Source organism: Homo sapiens, chromosome 8 (genome assembly GCF_000001405.40).
Source record: "Homo sapiens chromosome 8, GRCh38.p14 Primary Assembly".
Classification (NCBI taxonomy): Eukaryota; Metazoa; Chordata; class Mammalia; order Primates; family Hominidae; genus Homo; species Homo sapiens.
The window spans coordinates 3,132,346-3,151,925 of NC_000008.11; the positions used below are offsets into that span (position 1 = coordinate 3,132,346).

Here is a 19,580-nt window from a genome sequence, read left to right on the forward strand (position 1 = left end):
AGACGGCCTTCAAAAAAATTTGACTTAAAATACAACTTAATGGGTTTAGATTACAGAGACCTTCACAAGTTATAAAATACTACAATAATGTTTTATTCAAAAATGGAAATAATTAAACACTGATCTATGAAAGTAAGCTGTTTGTCTTCAAAGTGTCACTTTGATGAGTTCAGTCTCATCAGTTCTAGATAGTGTTGGGGCTCAGGACACCACCCCAAAATATGACTCTAGAAGACCAGAATATGCCACCCCAAAACACACTTCTTTGGTATATTTCCACCAGATTATTCTGAGAAACTGCAGATACAAAAGTAGTTCTGAATAGCTGCATCAAGAGGGCAGTTGCTTTATTACCTGAGCAATTGTAATCTGCATAACAAGACAACTATTCACCATATCATTCCTTCCCTCACTCTCTCCTAATTTGACTCCACTACTCTGGAGAAGCCCAAGCTCTTATTTCTTTCTGGAGCTCAGGAGCTACACAAGCTCCAACTTCTTGCCCTTTAATCCTAGGAAACAGGAAACAGGAAGGTTAGGAACCCACTCCCAGCCTTCTGTGCTCCAGGAAATATCTAAGTGGGAAGACCCTCCTTCGCCCAGGTCTACAAGAAGGCTGAGGGTGCCGCTCCGTTCACCTGGGAGGAACCTCTCCCACTTGGCCTCATATGAGGTTAGCTGACTTGCCTGTCCTATGGATACACTGGAATAAAAGGCGTATTAGCCCAGCTCTGCGTGAGCCTGCATCCTTCCCCAGGCCCCTGGATGTCACCCACTGCAGCGTGGGCCGGCACACAGCTTCTCCTCAGCGACCTGGGGGAGGCCGACCTGGGGCCCCTTCTTGGCTGCTGCTGTCCTCCTGGGCCTTCTTGGCTGCTGCTGTCCCAATGGGGCCCCTTCTTGGCTGCTGCTGTCTTCCTGGGTCCCCCGCCTGCTCTTTCTATCTCACTGCTCTCTCAACAGGAGGCTACTTTCCACTACCCTCCGGGGATGCCGGCTGACCTGAGGATCCCTCAGAGCCTCCCCTTTACAATCGTCCTCAGTCTCTCCTGAAAGAGCTTGGGTCTGTCTTGTGTTGGATGCCACTTATAGCAGCTGGGGGTGCCTTGGCCTCAGGGGAAGAGAGGCGCCCCTGGGAGCAGAAGGCAATCCTGTTACTGTTACACTGGAAGGCTCACGTGGACACCGGCAGACGAGAGTGAAGCCCCTAACCCACCAGGAATGAAGGGGTTCTGAGGAGAAACCTATGGCTGGGCTTTAGGGCTGCAGTCAGGAGGGGCGGGCATAGAGCTTAGCTCTGGGAAGGGGAGGGGTGAGTGTGATCAGAGGTAGGCGAAGAGACAGGAGGCTGCTGGCAGGAGTGCCCAGCACCTCTCGCTGGCTCAGGACCTACAGGTTGGACTCATTCCCCCTCCATGAACTGACCACTGCTCATGACACTCACTGCCAGGCTGCGCTGCAGCTGCCTCACAAGTCAAACTGAGAAAGGGTGGCATGGCCTTAAAGGCCGGTCGAATTCTTGCAAAGTCCTAGAAAGTGCTCTGTCAGGCCGGGCGCGGTGGCTCACGCCTGTAATCTCAGCACTCTGGGAGGCCGAGGCAGGCAGATCGGATCATGAGGTCAGGAGATGGAGACCAGCCTGGCCAATGTGGTGAAACCCTGTCTCCACTAAAACTACAAAAATTAGCCAAGCATGGTGGCAGGCACCTGCAGTCCCAGCTACTCAGGAGGCAGGAGAATCACTTGAACCAGGGAGTTAGAGGTTGCAGTGAGCCGAGAGTGTATCACTGCACTCCAGCCTCTCGACAGAGTGAGACTCCATCTCAAAAAAACAAGAAAAAAAAGAGAAAAAGAAAAACAAAAGAAAGAAAAGAAAGAAAGAGCTCTGCCAGTGTTTGCTGCACAAATCAAGGGCAAGGGTTCTGATGTCCGGAGGCCGTGATGTTAGGCAGTTCCTGAACCATGACCCTGGATCTGCAAGAGGCAATGCAGCCACAGCGGACATCTGGATTCCACGGTCACAGGCAGCACCTGCATCCAACCACGAAGGCATGCGCTGCAAGTCCTTGTGGAGAACGTTTGACTCTCAGGGTTTTGGCGAGGCTATTTTCACAGCCGTAAAACTTGAGAGGAGCAGGCAGATCTGTCAGGTGTCAGGTCCAAAACGAAAAACTGTGATCGGAGTTTTCCCACAGTGGCCGTTCTGCAGCTTAGGGATGGTCGAGTGGTTTTGCAACTTGTGGGAGAAAATTGTTCTTTTTAAACTGACTTCATTAGGTTTAAACATTCTTTCCCCTGTTAGTGCACTGACTAAATCGTTGGATTTAGAATCCAAAGACTTCATTTCCCTTCCTTCTGCTGAAATACAATAGCTTGGCTGACACTACTACTTTGGTGTCTAGCAGACTTGATTCCAAATCATACTTCCACAGGCAGCTGTGCACATTTTCACAATTTGCCAACCTCTCTGAGCCTCATTTTTCTTATCTGTGAAATGTGCATAACCCTTGGAATTTATGTGGAAATCAGGAAGCATAGAGTGTGGCGCAGAGTGAGCACACCATACGTAACAGTTATTATTGTCATTATTATTACTGAGACAGGGTCTCACTTTGATGCCCAGGCTGGAGTGCAGTGATGTGATGGCAGCTCATTGCAGCCTTGAACTCCCAAGCTCAGGCAGTCCTCCCACCTCAGCCTCCCAAGTAGCCAGGACCACGGGTGTCCAACACCACGCCCAGCTAATTTTTTGTAGAGACAGGGTCTCACCATGTTACCCAGGCTGGTCTTGAACTCCTGGCCTTGAGCAATCTTCCCGCCTTGGCTTCCCAAAGTGCTGCAATTTATTTTTAATATAGTAAAACAGGGGCAATTAGCTCTTCCAAACCAACTAATAATACTTCTGCAGAAGCACATGAGGACATAAGAAAACACTAATAAAAATCTCTTGCATACAAATACTTCATTTACATAGAGTTTTAATCCAATTATATCACTGTTCCATGGCATATGTATTATGTTGTTTTTCCAGGTACCTTCTTAAAGGAACTGGCTTCTTCCCCTTTAAAACATGCTCTTGAGTGAAGTCTGCTGATCACATTTCTGACTCTGTGAACCGGCTTCTTCCCCTTTAAAACATGCTCTTGAGTGAAGTCTGCTGATCACATTTCTGACTCTGTGAACCGGCTTCTTCCCCTTTAAAACACGCTCTTGAGTGAAGTCTGCTGATCACATTTCTGACTCTGTGAACCGGCTTCTTCCCCTTTAAAACACGCTCTTGAGTGAAGTCTGCTGATCACATTTCTGACTCTGTGAACCGGCTTCTTCCCCTTTAAAACATGCTCTTGAGTGAAGTCTGCTGATCACATTTCTGACTCTGTGACCCAAGTTGACCTAACACATAGTCTCTGTCCACCTGGCCTCAGTGGCTGGACTTAGACACAAGCTGGCCCACCAAGAAAGTGTTCCCAAAATGTTTAGCAATTGCAGTAGGAGAAGCAGGGTCCTGTCCTTGCTGAGCAGGGTATGGTTAGATTGGGGACATATCATCCATGTGTATTAGGGCAGAAAAAGCTATGAAAATCACAACAGGGGCAAAAAGAATTCAGGTGTCACTGAGGCCCAGGCTCCAGACATGCCCCAGCCCACACAGCTGTCACCTTGCACTTCTTTCCTAAACTAGTTTCATTCAGATTTCTATCATTTACAATCAAAGAGGGCAGACTCATGGGGAACATCCTGGATCTTTGTCCCCCCCTCATGCATTACATCTAGCCACTAATTGATGGCTCATCTATGGAGTCCGGGTTAGTCCTAGAATATGATCAAGGCTCTATTTTCACAATTATATGTAACAGTGATACACGTGTCTATGTGTTGCAGAGAGGACAACCAAGCCTTTTTTTTTTCTTTTTTTTTTTTTGCCCCCCGAGATAGAGTTTCGCTCTGTCACCCAGACTGGAGTGCAATGGCATGATCTCGGCTCACTACAAACCCCGGTCTCTGGTCTCCCAGGTTCAAGCGATTCTCCTGCCTCAGCCTCCTGAGAAGTTGGGATCACAGGCGCTCCCCACCATGCCCAGCTAGTATTTGTATTTTTAGTAGAAACGGGGTTTCACCATGTTGGCCAGGCTGATCTCCGACTCCTGACTTCAGCTGATCTACCCACCTCGGCCTCCCAAAGTGCTGGGATTACAGACATGAGCCACCGTGACCGGCTCATCCCTTTCGGATTTCTGGTAGCGACGGAAGAGATGCAGTGAATAGAAGAGAAGAACACCACTGCCATTGATAATATTTTTATATCAGTGGTTATACCCAGGGTACACTCAGAGCTGTTTGCACACATGGGTAGGACCACCAGTGCCTGAGGTAATCCTTGGGGTCATGTTTCCTGAAAGTAACTGTGAATCCCACCATCCCTGGGTAACTGATACTTCTCTGGCTGAAAGCACAATCCCTTAAAGAAGCCTTCTACAAAATCCAACATTACCAAGACTGGACACATGGTATTTGTGCCAGTATCTGCAGTGACATGAATTGGCTAAATTTTTTTAAAAATTTTTTTCTATGTAATACTGTTTTGAATTTAAAAACATATTTTTTTTAAATTTTATTATTTTAATTGAGAGATAATAATTGCACATATTCATGGGGTACATAGTGATGTTTCAATACATATAATCTAAGTGATCAGATCTGGGTAATTACTACATCTGTATGTTCATCATCTCCAGCCTTTATCATTTCTTTGTGGGGGGAATGTTCAATATCCTCCTGGCTCTGTGAAATGATGGGACATATTATTGTTGACTACAGTCACCCTAAAGGGCTAGAGAACACTAGACCTTATTCCTCCTATCTAGCTACAATTTTTTATCCTTTAAAAGAGTTTTGCTAGCAATATCCGCAATGCGTAGGGACTAAAAATTGATTTAATTTAATGAGGAAGCCGGAGCACAGACCTCAAACAAATAAAGGCAAGCCCTGCACAGGTGCTTCCGAAAATGTATATGCAGCACGGCAGAAAGTCCCTTAGCATCAGGGGGAATAAACACCTCAAGTATGGAGCTCACAGGTGTGCACTGGGGAGCAATTACAGGTAAGGCACTGCGCTTCCTGCTGAGCGCGGAGCGAGGTAAAACAGAAATGACCGTCACCTTCATGCAGTGTATTGTTTTCAGTAAGGCATCCTTTAAACATAGAAATACAGTTGTCCCTTGGCTTTTGCAGGTGGGTTACAGGAGGAATATAAAATAATGGTGCATTTTCATAAAATCTAAGCACACTCTCTTGTATACTTGAAGCCATCTCTAAATTTCTTATAATACTGAACACAAAGCAAATGCCGTGTAAATAGTTGTTATTCTGTATCGCTCAGGGAACGATGATAAGAAAAAGAGTCTGTGCATGTTCAGTGGAAACACAACCATGTGTTGTGTATTTCAGAATATTCTGATCTCTAGTGCTTGAATCCACACATGCAGAACTCATGGATGCAGAGGGCTGACTGTATACAATAAATTCCTGATTTTAAAAAGTCCCAGGGTATGCCTGTCAGTCTAGGTTCATTTATATGGCATTAACAACAATATCCCGGCTGGGCGCAGTGGCTCATGCCTGTAATCCCAGCACTTTGGGAGGATGAGGAGGGCAAATGACCTGAGGTCAGGAGTTCGAGACCAACCTGGCCAACATGGGTGAAACCCTGTCTCTACTAAAAATAAAAAAATTAGCCAGGCATGGTGGCGGGTGCCTGTAATCCCAGCTACTTGGGAGGCTGAGGCAGGAGAATTGCTTGAACCTGGGAGGCAGAGGGTGCAGTGAGCTGAGATTGTGCCACTGCACTCCAGCCTGGACAACAGAGTGGGATTCCCTCTCGAAAACAAAAAACCATATCCCATATCTCAGTGACTTAAAATAAGGCAGCTTCCTTCTGGTTCCAGGTTGGGATGGCAGGGAACTCTACTCCTGTAGATACTCAGGGATCCAGATGACTGAGTGGCCATTAGAGCAAACTAAATTTTGGCTCTTCAGGGTTCCATCCCAAGTGACATTCACTCCAATTTCATCACTGAAAGCAAGTCACACCACCACACTTCATTTTGAAGGCACCTCTATCCTGAGTCCAGAAGTAGAGAGAATGGGAGAGATTTGGTGGGAATGCTCGTGACCAGCACACAAGAAGAAGCACATCAGAATTCAAGCTTCTGAATGAGGAGACCTCCCCTGGTCGGAGTACTCAGACATTGCCTCCTGCAGGGTATTACATAGAAACAGTTCCGAATGACTAACCAAAGAGTGGGAGTGGAGATGGAAAGCATTGCAGGCTGAGATTGCTACACGTGCAAGAGCTCTGAGGTAGAAAGGACTGTGGCTGCTGGAGATATTTCAGAGGGGCAAGTGAGAATCGAGACAGAGAAAGAACCACAGCCTGGGAGACAGAAATAAGAGCTTAGCCAGAGAGACAGCAGATCCTTATAGATGTTGAACGATTTCCTGAAAATCTAAGAAAGCATGGTAAACGCTTTCATCACAAAAGGAATAAGTCCGGTCTGCCTTTTGGAAAGAAGAGAGAAGTTGGAAGAGTAAATCTGGAAAGACATTTAGGAGTTTGGCCATTTTCTAGGAGAAAGGTCTGAGAGCAGTTACGGCTACTGGTGGTGACACAGGGAGGCAGCCGCAGATTCCAGGAACACTGCACCTCACACTTAGTGAGATGGGGGCACTGGAGGATAAGCTGGGAAGCAAAACTGCGAGCTCAGCTTCGGGCACATGTTTCAGTGCCTGCGTCATTCCCAGAGGAGGTGGAAAACAAACATTGTGTCCTGGCGCTTGCAGAAGACTTGAGCTGGAGGCACAGGCACAAGAGTTATCAGCTGTGAATGGCCATCATGGGCTTTGAATCCAGGAGTTTGAATCACGGAAAGCATAGGATGGAAATATAGGAGGATTCCAACCTCCTATATAGCTAAAGTCAGTTAGAAGTGGTCAAGGAAGCAAAGAAAATAACAACTTAGCCAGAGAGATAGCAGAATAACCCAGAGATTTTCTGGCCCCTGAAGCCAAGGGAAAAGGGCGTCAAGAGAAATGGTAGCCATGCTGGATGTCACCAGGAGACATGAGAAAGGAAGTGTGCCTCCAGGGCTAGTGACATTAACATCTCCTGCAATAGAAGATCTTGTCGATAGAAGACCCCATCATGTTAGACACCAGGTAAATAGATAGGAGAAGTGAAAAACAGGTGTAGAAATTGAGAATGTTTACATAAGTTTTCTGGAACTATGTTTTAGAAATTAGAAGCTGGAGGAAGACAAGAGGTCCAAGGTACATTAAAATTATAAATAGATATGTACGTGTGTATGTGTGTGTGTCGATGTGTGAGAGACAGATCTGAGTTATATTCAAGATGCTATTGGGGAAAATTTCATGGATAGTAGCTGAAAATGCAGAAATAGAAAATATTCTCTAAATAATGTCTCTGAAATAGTAGGAAGAGAGGTACCTAGAGCATAGGATAGATTACCGTTTTTTTTCTTTCTTTTTTCTTTTCTTTCTTTCTTTTTTTTTTTTTTTTAGATGGAGTCTCCCTCTGTCACCCAGACTGGAGTGCAATGGTGTGATCTTGGCTCACTGCAACCTCCGCCTCCCGAGTTCAAGTGATTCTCCTGTCTCAGCCTCCTGAGTAGCTGGGATTACAGGCGCCTGCCATCATGTGCCGGCTAATTTTGGTATTTTTAGTAGAGATGTGGTTTCACCATATCGGCCAGGTTGGTCTCAAACTCCTGACCTCAGGTGATCAGCCCGCCTCTGCATCCCAAACTGCTGGGATTACAGGCGTGAGGCCACCACACCCAGCCCCGATTACCCTTAAGTAGGAGGTACATTCTCTTCCATTGAAAAAGAGAGAGAGCAGAGAATAGATGCACAGGCAAGCAGATCTGTATCCATTTTGTTGTGGGAAGTTGCTTCCTCTCTGATGTTCTCTCTCTCTCTCTCTCTCTGTCTCTCTCTCTCTGTTTTTCTCTCTCGTGCTTCAAGTAGGGAATGATTAGTGAGTGATACTGTTTGCTAAGTAGTAAGAAAATAAAGAAGGGGAACACAGAAAGAGTGTTTCATAGAAAAATGCTGGCAATGTCTAGAGACATATTGCTCACTGGTTTAGTCTCCAGTTTCCTCTCTTTTTTGCTCCTACCTAGATTTCCAGTTTAACAGACCTCAATCCTGGAAGTCTGTGTCTATATTTTATATTTTAGGTGAGACTACACATAATAATGCCAAAGAGTTCATCATAAAATACTAGCCTCTTTCAGTAATAAATATCAAAGCCCTGTTTCTAAGCATTCTGTGGAATTAGGGAAACAAGTGATTTAACTATATTAAAAAAAAAAAAAGTTAGGCTCTAGATTTAACGTTTTCAACCTCATTTGATCTAGCAATATTCAAGGAAAGGCCATACAAATTATTTTGCATGAAATTAAAATGTTGAACTTTTTCACATGTCAAAAATGCTTTGATGATGCAAACTTTTCTTAGAGATTGCATATTTGAAGGAATAAAAAGGATAAAGTTCAATCACTGATTTTTTTTCTCTTTTTGTGGTGAAAGTTGAACATGAACAATGCAGGTACCCATTATCTGTGCTAAGGCAAGGCATACATACCTGAGAGACCTACAGACTTACTGCCATATGGATCAACTCCGTGCACAATGGGACTCTCTGTGTCCTGAAGGGACGAGAGCTCAGAGGGACATAGTGACAAATGGGAAAGCTACATGATGATGAGACTCCCCAGTTGAGCACACAGTTGACTACGGCCATGGGAGAGAGTGTGTGCAGGTGGGATGGGAGTACAGGTGAAGCTTAGGTAACACCCGTACCTCATCATCCCCTGTGCGTCTGTGAAACCGCCTTTACAAAATTATACCTGAGGAAATTATGACAGTGAAAGAAACCAGACCTAACCAACTCCATCTTGCTTCTAACCTTTAAGCTGTCCTTGTTCATTCCTGGACATAGATTGAATTAATTTGGGAAGGAATTCAATTCCTGGTTTGACTCTGAAACAAAATTGATCATGGCCCTTTCCCGAAAAGACCCCCTTCTTGCCTGGGGACCAGTCTGTCTTTGCAGGACTAACAAATTACCTGTAAGATTAGACATTATGGTTTAGGGGTCATGCAGCCTCTGGTTCCAAGTCTGAACCTCCCCAAATTGCTCCTGGGATCACATCACTATTGTAAAACCTAACATCAGTGCTTGAGATATGTTGCAGACCCTGCACCTGGTGGATCAGCTGACACCACCCAAACCGGTAATCTGGCCCAACCAGTTCTGCCATCGCACTCGGGAACAGCAGACAGCAAGAAAAACTCACTTCCGCCCCCTGTGATTCCATCTCCAACCTGACCAATGAGCACTACCGGCTTCCCAAGCCCCTGCCCGCCAAATTATCTTTTTTTTTTTTTCTGAGATGGAGTCTGGCTCTGTCGCCCAGGCTGGAGTGCAGTGGCGCGATCTCTCCTCACTGCAAGCTCCGCCTCCCGGGTTCACGCCACTCTCCTGCCTCAGCCTCCCGAGTAGCTGGGACTACAGGCGCCCGCCACTATGCCCAGCTAATTTTTGGTATTTTTAGTAGAGACGGGGTTTCACCGTGTTAGCCAGGATGGTCTCGATCTCCTGACCTCGTGATCCGCCCGCCTCGGCCTTCCAAAGTGCTGGGATTACAGGCGTGAGCCACCGCGCCCGGCCGCCAAATTATCTTTAAAAACTTGAATCCCTGAATGCTGGGGAGACTGAATTGAGTCACAATAAAACTCCGGTCTCCCACACATCTGGCTCTGCGTGAATTACTCTTTCTCCATTGCAATTCCCGTCTTGATAAATCGGCTCTGTCTGGGCAGCAGAAAAGGCGAACCCACTGGTGGTTCCGTCTGTGTCCTTACCTCTGTTTTCAAAAACAACAAGTGTTCCACTACTAACCAGAAACCAACATTCCACCAAAAAATTATTCCACTCGTACAAGCTTGGAACCAGTTAGGGAGATTTATACTTAAATACAATTTACATGTAAGAAGTGTATTTAGATTTGGGTTTCGGTTCTCGTTGTTGTTCCATACCTTGGTAAGCAAGTTTAAATCCTTGCCGGTTTTGCGAATGGTCACTATAAAAGTGGATGAGGGTTTCATGCGTTGTGCTCAGCAGGGCCGCGGGGAGATCCGTGCCGCTAAATTGTCCAATCATGGGGCTGGTGTGGTAAGGTCCATTTTGAATTTCAAGGAAGTCATGATTAGCTTCGGTAGAAAAATTCAGAAACTGAATATGTGCACCTATGGAAAAACATGCAAACTTAATGAAAGTTCATATCAAAATGTATAAAATCAATGCTCATAAAAAGGGACTGAAGTGTTAGCAGTCTCCCCAGACAATCCCTCTCTGTGAGACAGAACCATGCCGTGGAGGACGGCATTCACTGTGGATGACAGCAAACCCTGGCTCCATCTTACCTCTGCCACTTTTTGCCGCATGGTCTTTTTCCATGACACTCACGTCCAGAAGTCAATTTGTTTGTGAAATATGAATATTACCAGCACCGTACCACAGAGCTACACAGGTGGAATCCTTAGGTAACAACTAGCACACACGCACTCGGGGATGATTTTGTCCGGTGACTTTTACAATTATGACAATCTTAAATATGAAGTTGTGATCATCTGTTACATCACCCAAAAGCTAACTGATAGCTTTATCAAGGAAAAACAACAACAACAACAACAATTTTGGTTTTAAAACATGCCACAGAGTTTTTTTTGTTTTTATTTTGTGTTTGTCTGTTTATTTTGTCTGTTTGCCTTGTCCCACAGTTCTATGCAACCAACTTTAAAGGTGGCTTTTACTAACTGGACGGTCATACCATAGCACAAGTTTATTAGTTTAGCAAGCGGTCATTTTCTATTGTGTTACGTGTGCAAAACAAATTATTGATGTTTGTGAGAAACCCAATCTAATCAACCGCACCATAACTCTCACAATTAAATCTAACAGCCTGGCACAGTTGAGAATACCAAAAGACTGTTCAAATGACCAGTATCTCTGATATCATACTCATCTGTGAATTAAATAAACTATGGCTGATAATTTAAAAGGAAACAATAAAAATAATTGAGAGTTATTTGCATTGTGGCATTTTTTTTGAAAACTTATTTGACTACTATGTCTTAGATATTCTAACTCATTTAAGCAATTTATATAGAACTCCAAAGACATTAGTCTTTGCATAAGTCCATGCAGTTAAGCTGGGCCGTAAAACCTAAACTGAGCCAACTAACAGCAGTTGTAGAGTGTTATTCCAGTATAAAAGAAAGCTTTACTCTGCATGGTTCTTCTGTTTTTGATAGATGAGAACTTTAAAAAAATTTTTGCATCTAATATATTTCCTAGATTGGGAAAATTAAAGATAACACCTACTTGGGTTTTCCTACTTCATTGGAAGTGCATAAAAATATTCACACAAACACATCCACTCAGGTGTCAAAGGAAAACACAGTTGTCAGAGGGCAGTACTTTGTAAAAAGGAAGAAAAAAGTCCAAGTGAAAAATTGTAGGGAGGAAACACCTAAAATCTCTCAACAAAATTTAAAGTCATACAAGAAAAACAATTTCATTAATTATGGAGAAACTTGGCAGGGAGAAGCAAAAGGGTAAATAGTGCCCTGCTTGGTGGGCATCACGTAGGGCCAACAGTATGCCTGGGGTCCGATTTGCCAACCAAGTTTGCTCCCAGCACAGTAATCATCACCGTGCTCATAATTTACAGGCGAGCAAACTAAGGCTCTGAAATGTTAGATGTTCTGTCTCATGTCACACGGGAAATGGCAGAGTGAAGTTTAACCCCGCACTAACGGACAAAGGCCTCACTTTTTCTGGTTTGGTATGCCAATAGACTAGACAAGAGCTGACAGTCTCATGATGGTAAAAATATTCCACTCTTCTTGGAGAAAATCAGTTTGTATTATGTTCAACCTAGATTGAAAGAGGATGAATTAAAAAAAATAGAACGTGAAAAACTGCAGGATGTGGCTGAGGAGACAAAATACAGAAGAAAAAGAAAGATCTTTAATAATTTAAGCAAAATTTAGAATTCTTTTTAGAATGAGTAACTAGATTCATATCACGTTGTCCAAGTCTATAGACCGGTACTACATCGCCAGTCAAGAAAGGACCTGTGATGGTCTTGGCCATTCTAACATCGTCTGCTGTATATAATCAAGGTGGAGCAACTCTTTAAATTTACAACATTTCTGCAAATATTCAAAAATGTCAAATACTGCTGTTTGTTGAACAACCACCAGTGAGCTATTGTTTCTAAATTCCAGAAAATATTTTTGTTTAAAAGGAACTCAGAAGTGAGAAAAAAAGAAAGAAAAAAAGGGAGAGAAAGAGGCAACAAGGGGGGGGGGGAGGGAGGGAGGGAGAAGGGGTAAGGGAGGGAGGGGGTCCAGGGGCTCCTGTGTCCCTTGGTTTGGAGCTGTCTCCTCTGCCTGCTGTGACAGCTGCGCTCCTGGACTGCCCAGCCAGTGGCACATCCAGATCTGCTTGTCCACTTCCCACTACTGAGCTAAAAACACAGTTTGGCGGTATGCCCACAAATCTAATAAGAATGAATCTTGTTACTAATAAGTAAACTAGAGTAAAGAGTTGTGTGTGTGTGTGTGCATGCATGCATTTGTGTGTCTGTGTGCACGTGTGTTTGTGTGACTGCCTTATGAACATTGAATCCATGTGCTCCACAGAGTTTTATAGACATTGCTCACATTAATCCCAATCAGGCGGAATCAAGAAGCTGACCCGAGAGTAACAAAAAACAACCTGCTGAATTGCTGGCACTTCTACGTATGTCCAGAGTACCAGACAGAAGGAAAACCGGGGCCAGATTGGAACACTTAATATTTTATGGTAGGGAAATGGCTGAGAATGTGCTCACTTCAGATGCGCATATGCAGACTTCAGATATATTTATCCAGAAACACATTTTGAAATTCATGAACCGGCACAGTCACGAAACATAACAACTTGCAAGGGGATCAGGGTGCAAAGAAATGGAGGACATCCAACGTCTCAAAAGTACAGGATCTAGTGAAAGTGGTTTGTTACTGATTTGGAATTCAGTTTGAAAAGGAAATGGAATTATGACAATTATAATATTGTGAGCAAAATTACCATTTTAAGCAGGATAAATTATACAGCCACATATCAAACTACCTAATACATATCAGAAAATAGAACAGAGCCCAGCTCTAATCTGGCTTAAAATAGAATTATCTAGCTATCTAATTTTCAGCAAATTGCATCCAGTTTGACATTGTAAAGCCCAAATAAAAGGATTAAAATAAGCATAACCTGGTTATCCTTCTATTGTCTCAGAGAGTACTAAAGCATATATATTATTTCAATAACAATAAAAAATCTGAATACTTACCTTTGGTGGAACTTACCCAGCACTGTCTTATCCCATTGGGATTACATATTGAAAATTAAGTGCCAGTGACAAGTCACCTGCACAGAGAATTTTTGCCTTTGGCATTGACAAAACTTTGAATAGTAATGTGACCATGATCTCAGAGTTAAACCCTAGTTTTTAGTTGATAGAACCTGTGAATATTACTTCCTCTGTTTTGCACCTTCTGTGTGTAATAAAATATAGCAAAAGTGTTAATACCTATGGAATTTATTGAACATTCTAAAGAACCTTTTATATTGTCCCTATGTTTCTAGAAAGTCTGATGGCATGGTAATTTTGGAGAGCATTGTGTGCACTATTAGTGCAGTAGATTTTAAGTATAAAAGATAATGGGGTAAGGCAGACAGAAAGCTTCATTGCATTTCTGTTAACTGTGCCCTTAGACACTCTCAAGAAAACGGAGACCGAAATCCTGAGTTGGTTGAGCTCTGCCAGAGCATCACAAAACAACAAGCCAAGTCTGTGAAAAGGAAAGAAAATGGCACACAACTATCAGGTTTAGCTACTAGATAAGTAAACTAGAATTTGGTTTAACTATTAAAAACAGCACTTAAATAATACCCTATTTCATGCATTTACAATACTTCAAAATAGCCCTATGGGACTGATATATTATATTCCCTTTAAAAATAAGGAAACAAGTTTCAAAAACATTTGAGTATCTTGTGCAATCATTGGTAGGACTAAGATTTCTACTCAGCTAAACTCAGAGCCTAAAATTGTGAGCAACCACAGCTTATGCTGCCAACTGCCTCAGTTCTTTTGGCTAGAGTTCCCTTGGTCATTTTGAGGGACAGGCTGTGTGGGTCACTGTCCCGCAGTAGGTCACTGTCGGTTACTGAGGCAGGGTATAGAAAACAGCTGTTTCTGGAATGAGTAATTAGGAAAGCCAGGTAAGATGATTTCCACATGATGCCAAACCAGTTAATCGCTTTTGCTTATTTAAATTGTGGCTCGATCCATGGGAATGGGCTCTGGGAGTAGAGTTAATCAAAATAATTATTTGACTAAACTGGCAACTGCTTAACTCCTGGATTAGACAATCGATCAGGCAATCCCATGCTTATCCAGTTGTATGGGAAGATTCATAATACCCAATAAAATCCTCCCAAGGTGAAAAACATCCCATATATTTTTCTTCAAGAAGGGGCAATAACGTCTTATATTCCGGATAAGTGTTATTACTCAGAGTAACTGGAGGAGCAACGCTTACTGGTAGGACAGCTGTGCCCTGAGAATCCAAATCCCAAAACTGTCAATCAAGGAAACAGATATGTATGTTCAGATACTAGAGATACAATCTGAAGCCTAGAAATTACATTTAAGAATGTTTTGCAAGAACGATTTTTTCTTTTTTCTTTTGTAATTCACTTTGGAGTTTTGATTTGTCATGCTGTTTGTTTCATACTCAATAATCTTCTATCTCTATTTTCAACTTCCCAAAATCTCATGATTTCTACATTTTTACACGAAAGCAACTTTTCTTAAATAAGTAATATTTGTAAGAATCTTGTGAAAACCTTTGTGCATTTCTCATCTTATTTAGATTGAAAGTGCTCTTCTATAAATTGGAGAAACGCTTCCTGAAGGAGTCTGACTCCAGCATCCAAGGAACTGGAGCTGCTTCGGGAAGATGCCAAATTCATTTCCTACTTCAGCTGGGGCACTGAGTCAGAATTTAGGAAAGAGACCACGGGAAGCTACATTGTAACAGCACAACCGCCATTGAGGCTTCCTGCACACAGTAAAATTTGAGCACCCTGGGGGGCAGTCATTTTCCTTGTTACTTAGTGTTGCAAGTTTAAGTAGACACAAATTACTATAAATCTGACACTCTCTTAGGGTCTAAGGCAATCAAGTTTCCCATAACGTCTGTTTCTTGTTGAAATTTCCAGTGATACTTCAAAGGAAATATTGTTTAACACAGTTTCCCAAACCTCTGAAAACCGAGGAGGGGAGAGGCAGAGTAGTGATAGCAATGCACCATTTGCACTTACAGGAGGAGCTGGTTAACTGGTTACTTGCGTGAACTACCTATCACATATATGCCTTTTCTCAGCATTAAGGAAGACAAATCTTCTGGCTATTCTTTTGCAACCTGATCACCAAGATCACCCTAACAGCATTATCCTGGTAAGATATTTTTTGTGTGACGTCAGTTGAAATACCTGTCTACCTTCTCAATCTCCCTGCTTGTCCCATTAGGAAATAGGGGACCCTTTTCTGAGTTGTAACCACAGGAAATGTTCCAGAATCACTTTATGGTTTGGGTGTTAATAGGAAGCAACATGAGAGATCAAAAAGGGGAGAAATCATAATTACAAGATAATTGTGGTCACCTCTGCTATATTCCCATTTTGTTTTACGTAAAAACTTCTGGAGTGAGTGCTTCATTTGTAAGTGCAGATGTCTGAGCTTAAACCCCAAACTTACTTCCTCAAAATTTCCAAGGGTGTGATCTGATATTTTCTTATGATTCCGGAGATTCTGAGAAGAGCTTGCTGACAAGAATAAGGCAAGGTTCAGAGAAACAAAAATGAGCTGTGCAGTGCTGTGGGTATAAATTAGGAATTGAACAGGAGAATCTGACTCAGAGGAAATCATTCACATGCGGCCGAAGTGTGGTTTGACATTTGAAAACAAGACTCATGACGCTGCTTTAAAACTCATGTGCATAGAACGGAGACTTCAAGTTCTGGTAGTGGATATTACAAGGGAGAAGACGCAGAAATTAAAGAAGGCCATGAATACATAGAACTAATTTACTTAAATGTTTTTCACTATAAAACAATGTGGGGTTGAAAGCTAGGTAGTAAAATTTTCTCAGATTCTGCAAATTGCTCGAAAATGATTTAAGCCCTAGAAAGAACTCCTACCAGGGGCATCATAATTCCAAATGTTGACCACGTTAGAGGACACATCGCCACTCACATGCCTCTCCTCCCAATTTCTCACTTCGTATCTATTACTGTTTAGAGGTTATAGAATTTATCACAGGCAAACCTGGTGCGTTACTCAAATGTAATCTATAACAAATTATTCTGAAGCTTACCTACATCTATTCTAAAAAGCTAGGGATAATACTTTTCATGCCTGTTTGATTTGAGATAAAGTTTCTTTTCTCCTCTTCTAGATCCTCTTTAAACCCTCAGGCTATGCAATATCCAATTTTTTTAAGATTTACATCAGTTTAAAGATATTTCATAAGTTATTTTTCATTTCAGTCTTTCTTTAAATAGTTTGTTTAGGTTTATAGATCCCAAATATGAATTTAGACAATTTGGTTTCATTGAAGTTTTTTCCCAAATTATTCTCTCGCACAATAGTTTATAAATAAAAAATAAATACAGAAATATACTAAATGATACCCTTCTCAGAAATGATAAAATAGTAACATTGGAAAAATAAGTTAAGAAAATATTTATACCAATTTTATTTTATTCATAAATACAATGTTTCCAGTTAGTTTTGAGAAGAAGGTGACAAACATTTGGAAGAATAATACAAAATACAACTGGGTGACTTTCCTATTTGTTTCACTTTTTTGTTGTTGTTGTTGTTGTTTATCACGTGCCAAACCCTGCACTAATCTTCTAGCCAGAATTTTTGTTTATTTATTCATTTACTTATTGAGACAGAGTCTCGCTCTGTCACCAAGCTGGAGCGCAGTGGCGTGATCGTGGCTCACTGCAACCTCCACCTCCCGGGTTCAAGCGATTCTCTTGCCTCAGCCTCCCAAGTAGTTGGGATTACAAGCAAGTGCCACCATGCCCAGCTAAGTTTTGTATTTTTAGTAGAGACGGCGTTTCATCATGTTGGCCAGGATGATCTCGATCTCCTGACCTTGCGATCCACCGGCCTTCGCCTCCCAATAGCCAGAATTATTATAATTAACCCTCACCATAACCTTATGTGGGTATTTCAGGTATAGAAAGGAGGAAACTGGAGCCCCTGTGCCTTAACTCATTTAAAAAAACCACACCTCCTTCAGGGATAGCTGCAGTTTGCCTCAGATTTCTCTCATTCTCTGATGTTAATGACTATAATAATTTGACCAACAAGGCTCCGGTCCTTAAGAGCGCTAGTGCTGTGTAAACTATCCCGGGTTACACATACCTCTGAAAGAATTCTTAACCCCTGACTCCAAAGATTAGTTCAATAAGTTCATGTCTCCAGATCTCCAGGGCAAGGACGATGGGCCCAGCTTGGGAGAACAGTGGAAGCAACGTTGCTGAAGGTGATTCCCAGGTCTCCGTTTCATTTAGCCCTGGCAGAATCACTGCCTCATGCTCAGAGAGAGTATGACTGAAAAAAACAAAACCAGCAAACCAAGAAACCCGGGAGAAACAGGGGCTCCTATAATAATCCTTCCACAGAGTCTCTCCCTTCCTTGACCACCACCGTGGCCTCCTACAGATCACTGGGAGGTGACGGACTCCCCAGGCCGTCCCCATCGAGCTGCTCTTCCACAGTCCTCCTCTTTTCTTGTGGAACAGTCATGTTGGTCAACTGCATTTCCCACGTCCAGCGCCTGATTGACCTGTCGGGCCGTCATTCCGACTGTTCATTCCCCGGCCACTCTCTGCTGAGCAAGTCCACCCTGACTGCTCACTCCTACTGCTACTGCCATCCTGGGCACAGATTCTAAAAGCAGAAGCTTTGAATAAAGTGTGTGATCTTCTTCCAGGGCAGTTATTTCTATTTATGGTTGTATTCATTCATTCATTCATTCATTCATCATTCAGCTACTATTTAGTACAGAAATACCCAGCTACTCTGCCCGAGGACATTCACTAAGTACCTAACTTGGTCTACCTAAAGTGAGTGCTGTAGAGAAAATCACAAGTAGGGAGACTCAAATAAATGAACTAAAATACGAAGGAAACCAGGAGGCAGACAGGGAAAGGCGTGAGAGGGGATCAAAATTTCACAAAGACCATGCATTTCTGAAGAGAGGCCAGAAAAAGGTTCTATAATAGTATACACAACAATTAAATTTATGAATTATTTAAGGTGAATAACCTAAAATGTTAATAACTAGATATTAAAAAAACAACTTATTTATTAACCTGAAAACAATGTAATATATAGCAAAAATGTATAAAACAATACTATTTCTTGAAAGTTGTTTTATATTTAAAAGGAGTCATAACCTTTAAAAAGCCTTCAGAATTATCCAGAAGAAACAATAACCATTATTGACTTCCAGAGATAGATTAGAAAAAGAGCTATTATAAATAAAGAGATTGATAATTGAATTAGGGATGCTATATTTTGTACTTCGTATGCCTACTATATCATCATTCGGCCAATTTAATTTGCCTTGAAAAGAGTTGCATGGCTTAATTGATTTTTCAAATAAGTTTTCCACTCTCAAAGTTACTCTGCCAAAGCTTTATTTAAATCTGTACGCCACTTTCAATTACAGATACAGTTATGCCAACAGAATAAGGCATTTTATTCTGCTTAATTCTTTCCAAGATGGAAATGAAAAAAATGAACTTTTAGGAATTGGTAACATTTTCACTTACCATAGCCGATGGGTAATGAGATCCTCCAGGTGCAGTCTAAGTTGTTGGGGTAAGAACCTGGGAAGCCGGGGCTCAGGATCACACCACCCAAGGTGCTCAGCGTCCCTCCACAGGTTGCTGTTAAGTGGACAAGATGTCAGTCCTGCAGGTCCTCACTTTCTCCCTGGAATCTTTGCTCCAACCTGCTTCACTCAACTATGCTGAGAAAGAGCAAGTCTTCGGAGTTAATTCTGCCCCTAATTACAGCACACGATACAATGCTGTGTGCCTTAGTTATTTATGAGCTGTGCTCTCCCTCTTGACAGTGAACTGCTTTAGAATAAAGACCATTTTTCAAGATCCATCTTCTCCTCTCACACTCAAAGGCTCCCAGTAAAGATGAGTCCATGTAATGTTTGCGTCACAGTCAGGCATCAAATGGACTTCAGTATATTAGCTGCTACTCATTGAGAGGTAGTATTACTCCCTATTGATTGATTGCTAACTATGTGGTACTTACTGTGCCTAGATAAATACATTGCATAGATTA

The 19,580-nt window shown here is 42.4% G+C and overlaps 1 protein-coding gene across 5 annotated transcripts in view, besides 1 other annotated feature; it reads right to left on the reverse strand.

Annotated features, from left to right (window-relative positions):
- Positions 1–19,580, reverse strand: part of CSMD1 (CUB and Sushi multiple domains 1) — a 2,059,554-nt gene that overhangs the window by 196,985 nt on the left and 1,842,989 nt on the right. For all 5 annotated transcript variants that reach the window (XM_011534752.3, NM_033225.6, XM_011534753.4 and 2 more), the window contains 2 exons: positions 19,052–19,168; positions 10,120–10,329 (listed from right to left, as the gene is read on the reverse strand). In XM_011534752.3, the coding sequence (XP_011533054.1) occupies positions 10,120–10,329; positions 19,052–19,168 (327 nt within the window). The remainder of the gene's footprint in view (positions 1–10,119; positions 10,330–19,051; positions 19,169–19,580) is intronic.
- Positions 946–1,638: an enhancer, noted in NCBI's record as "H3K4me1 hESC enhancer chr8:2990813-2991505 (GRCh37/hg19 assembly coordinates)". NCBI's record gives its function as "activates a minimal SCP1, AML or CMV promoter by ChIP-STARR-seq in primed H9 embryonic stem cells {active_cell/tissue: H9 hESC(primed)}" and the evidence as "EXISTENCE:reporter gene assay evidence [ECO:0000049][PMID:30033119]".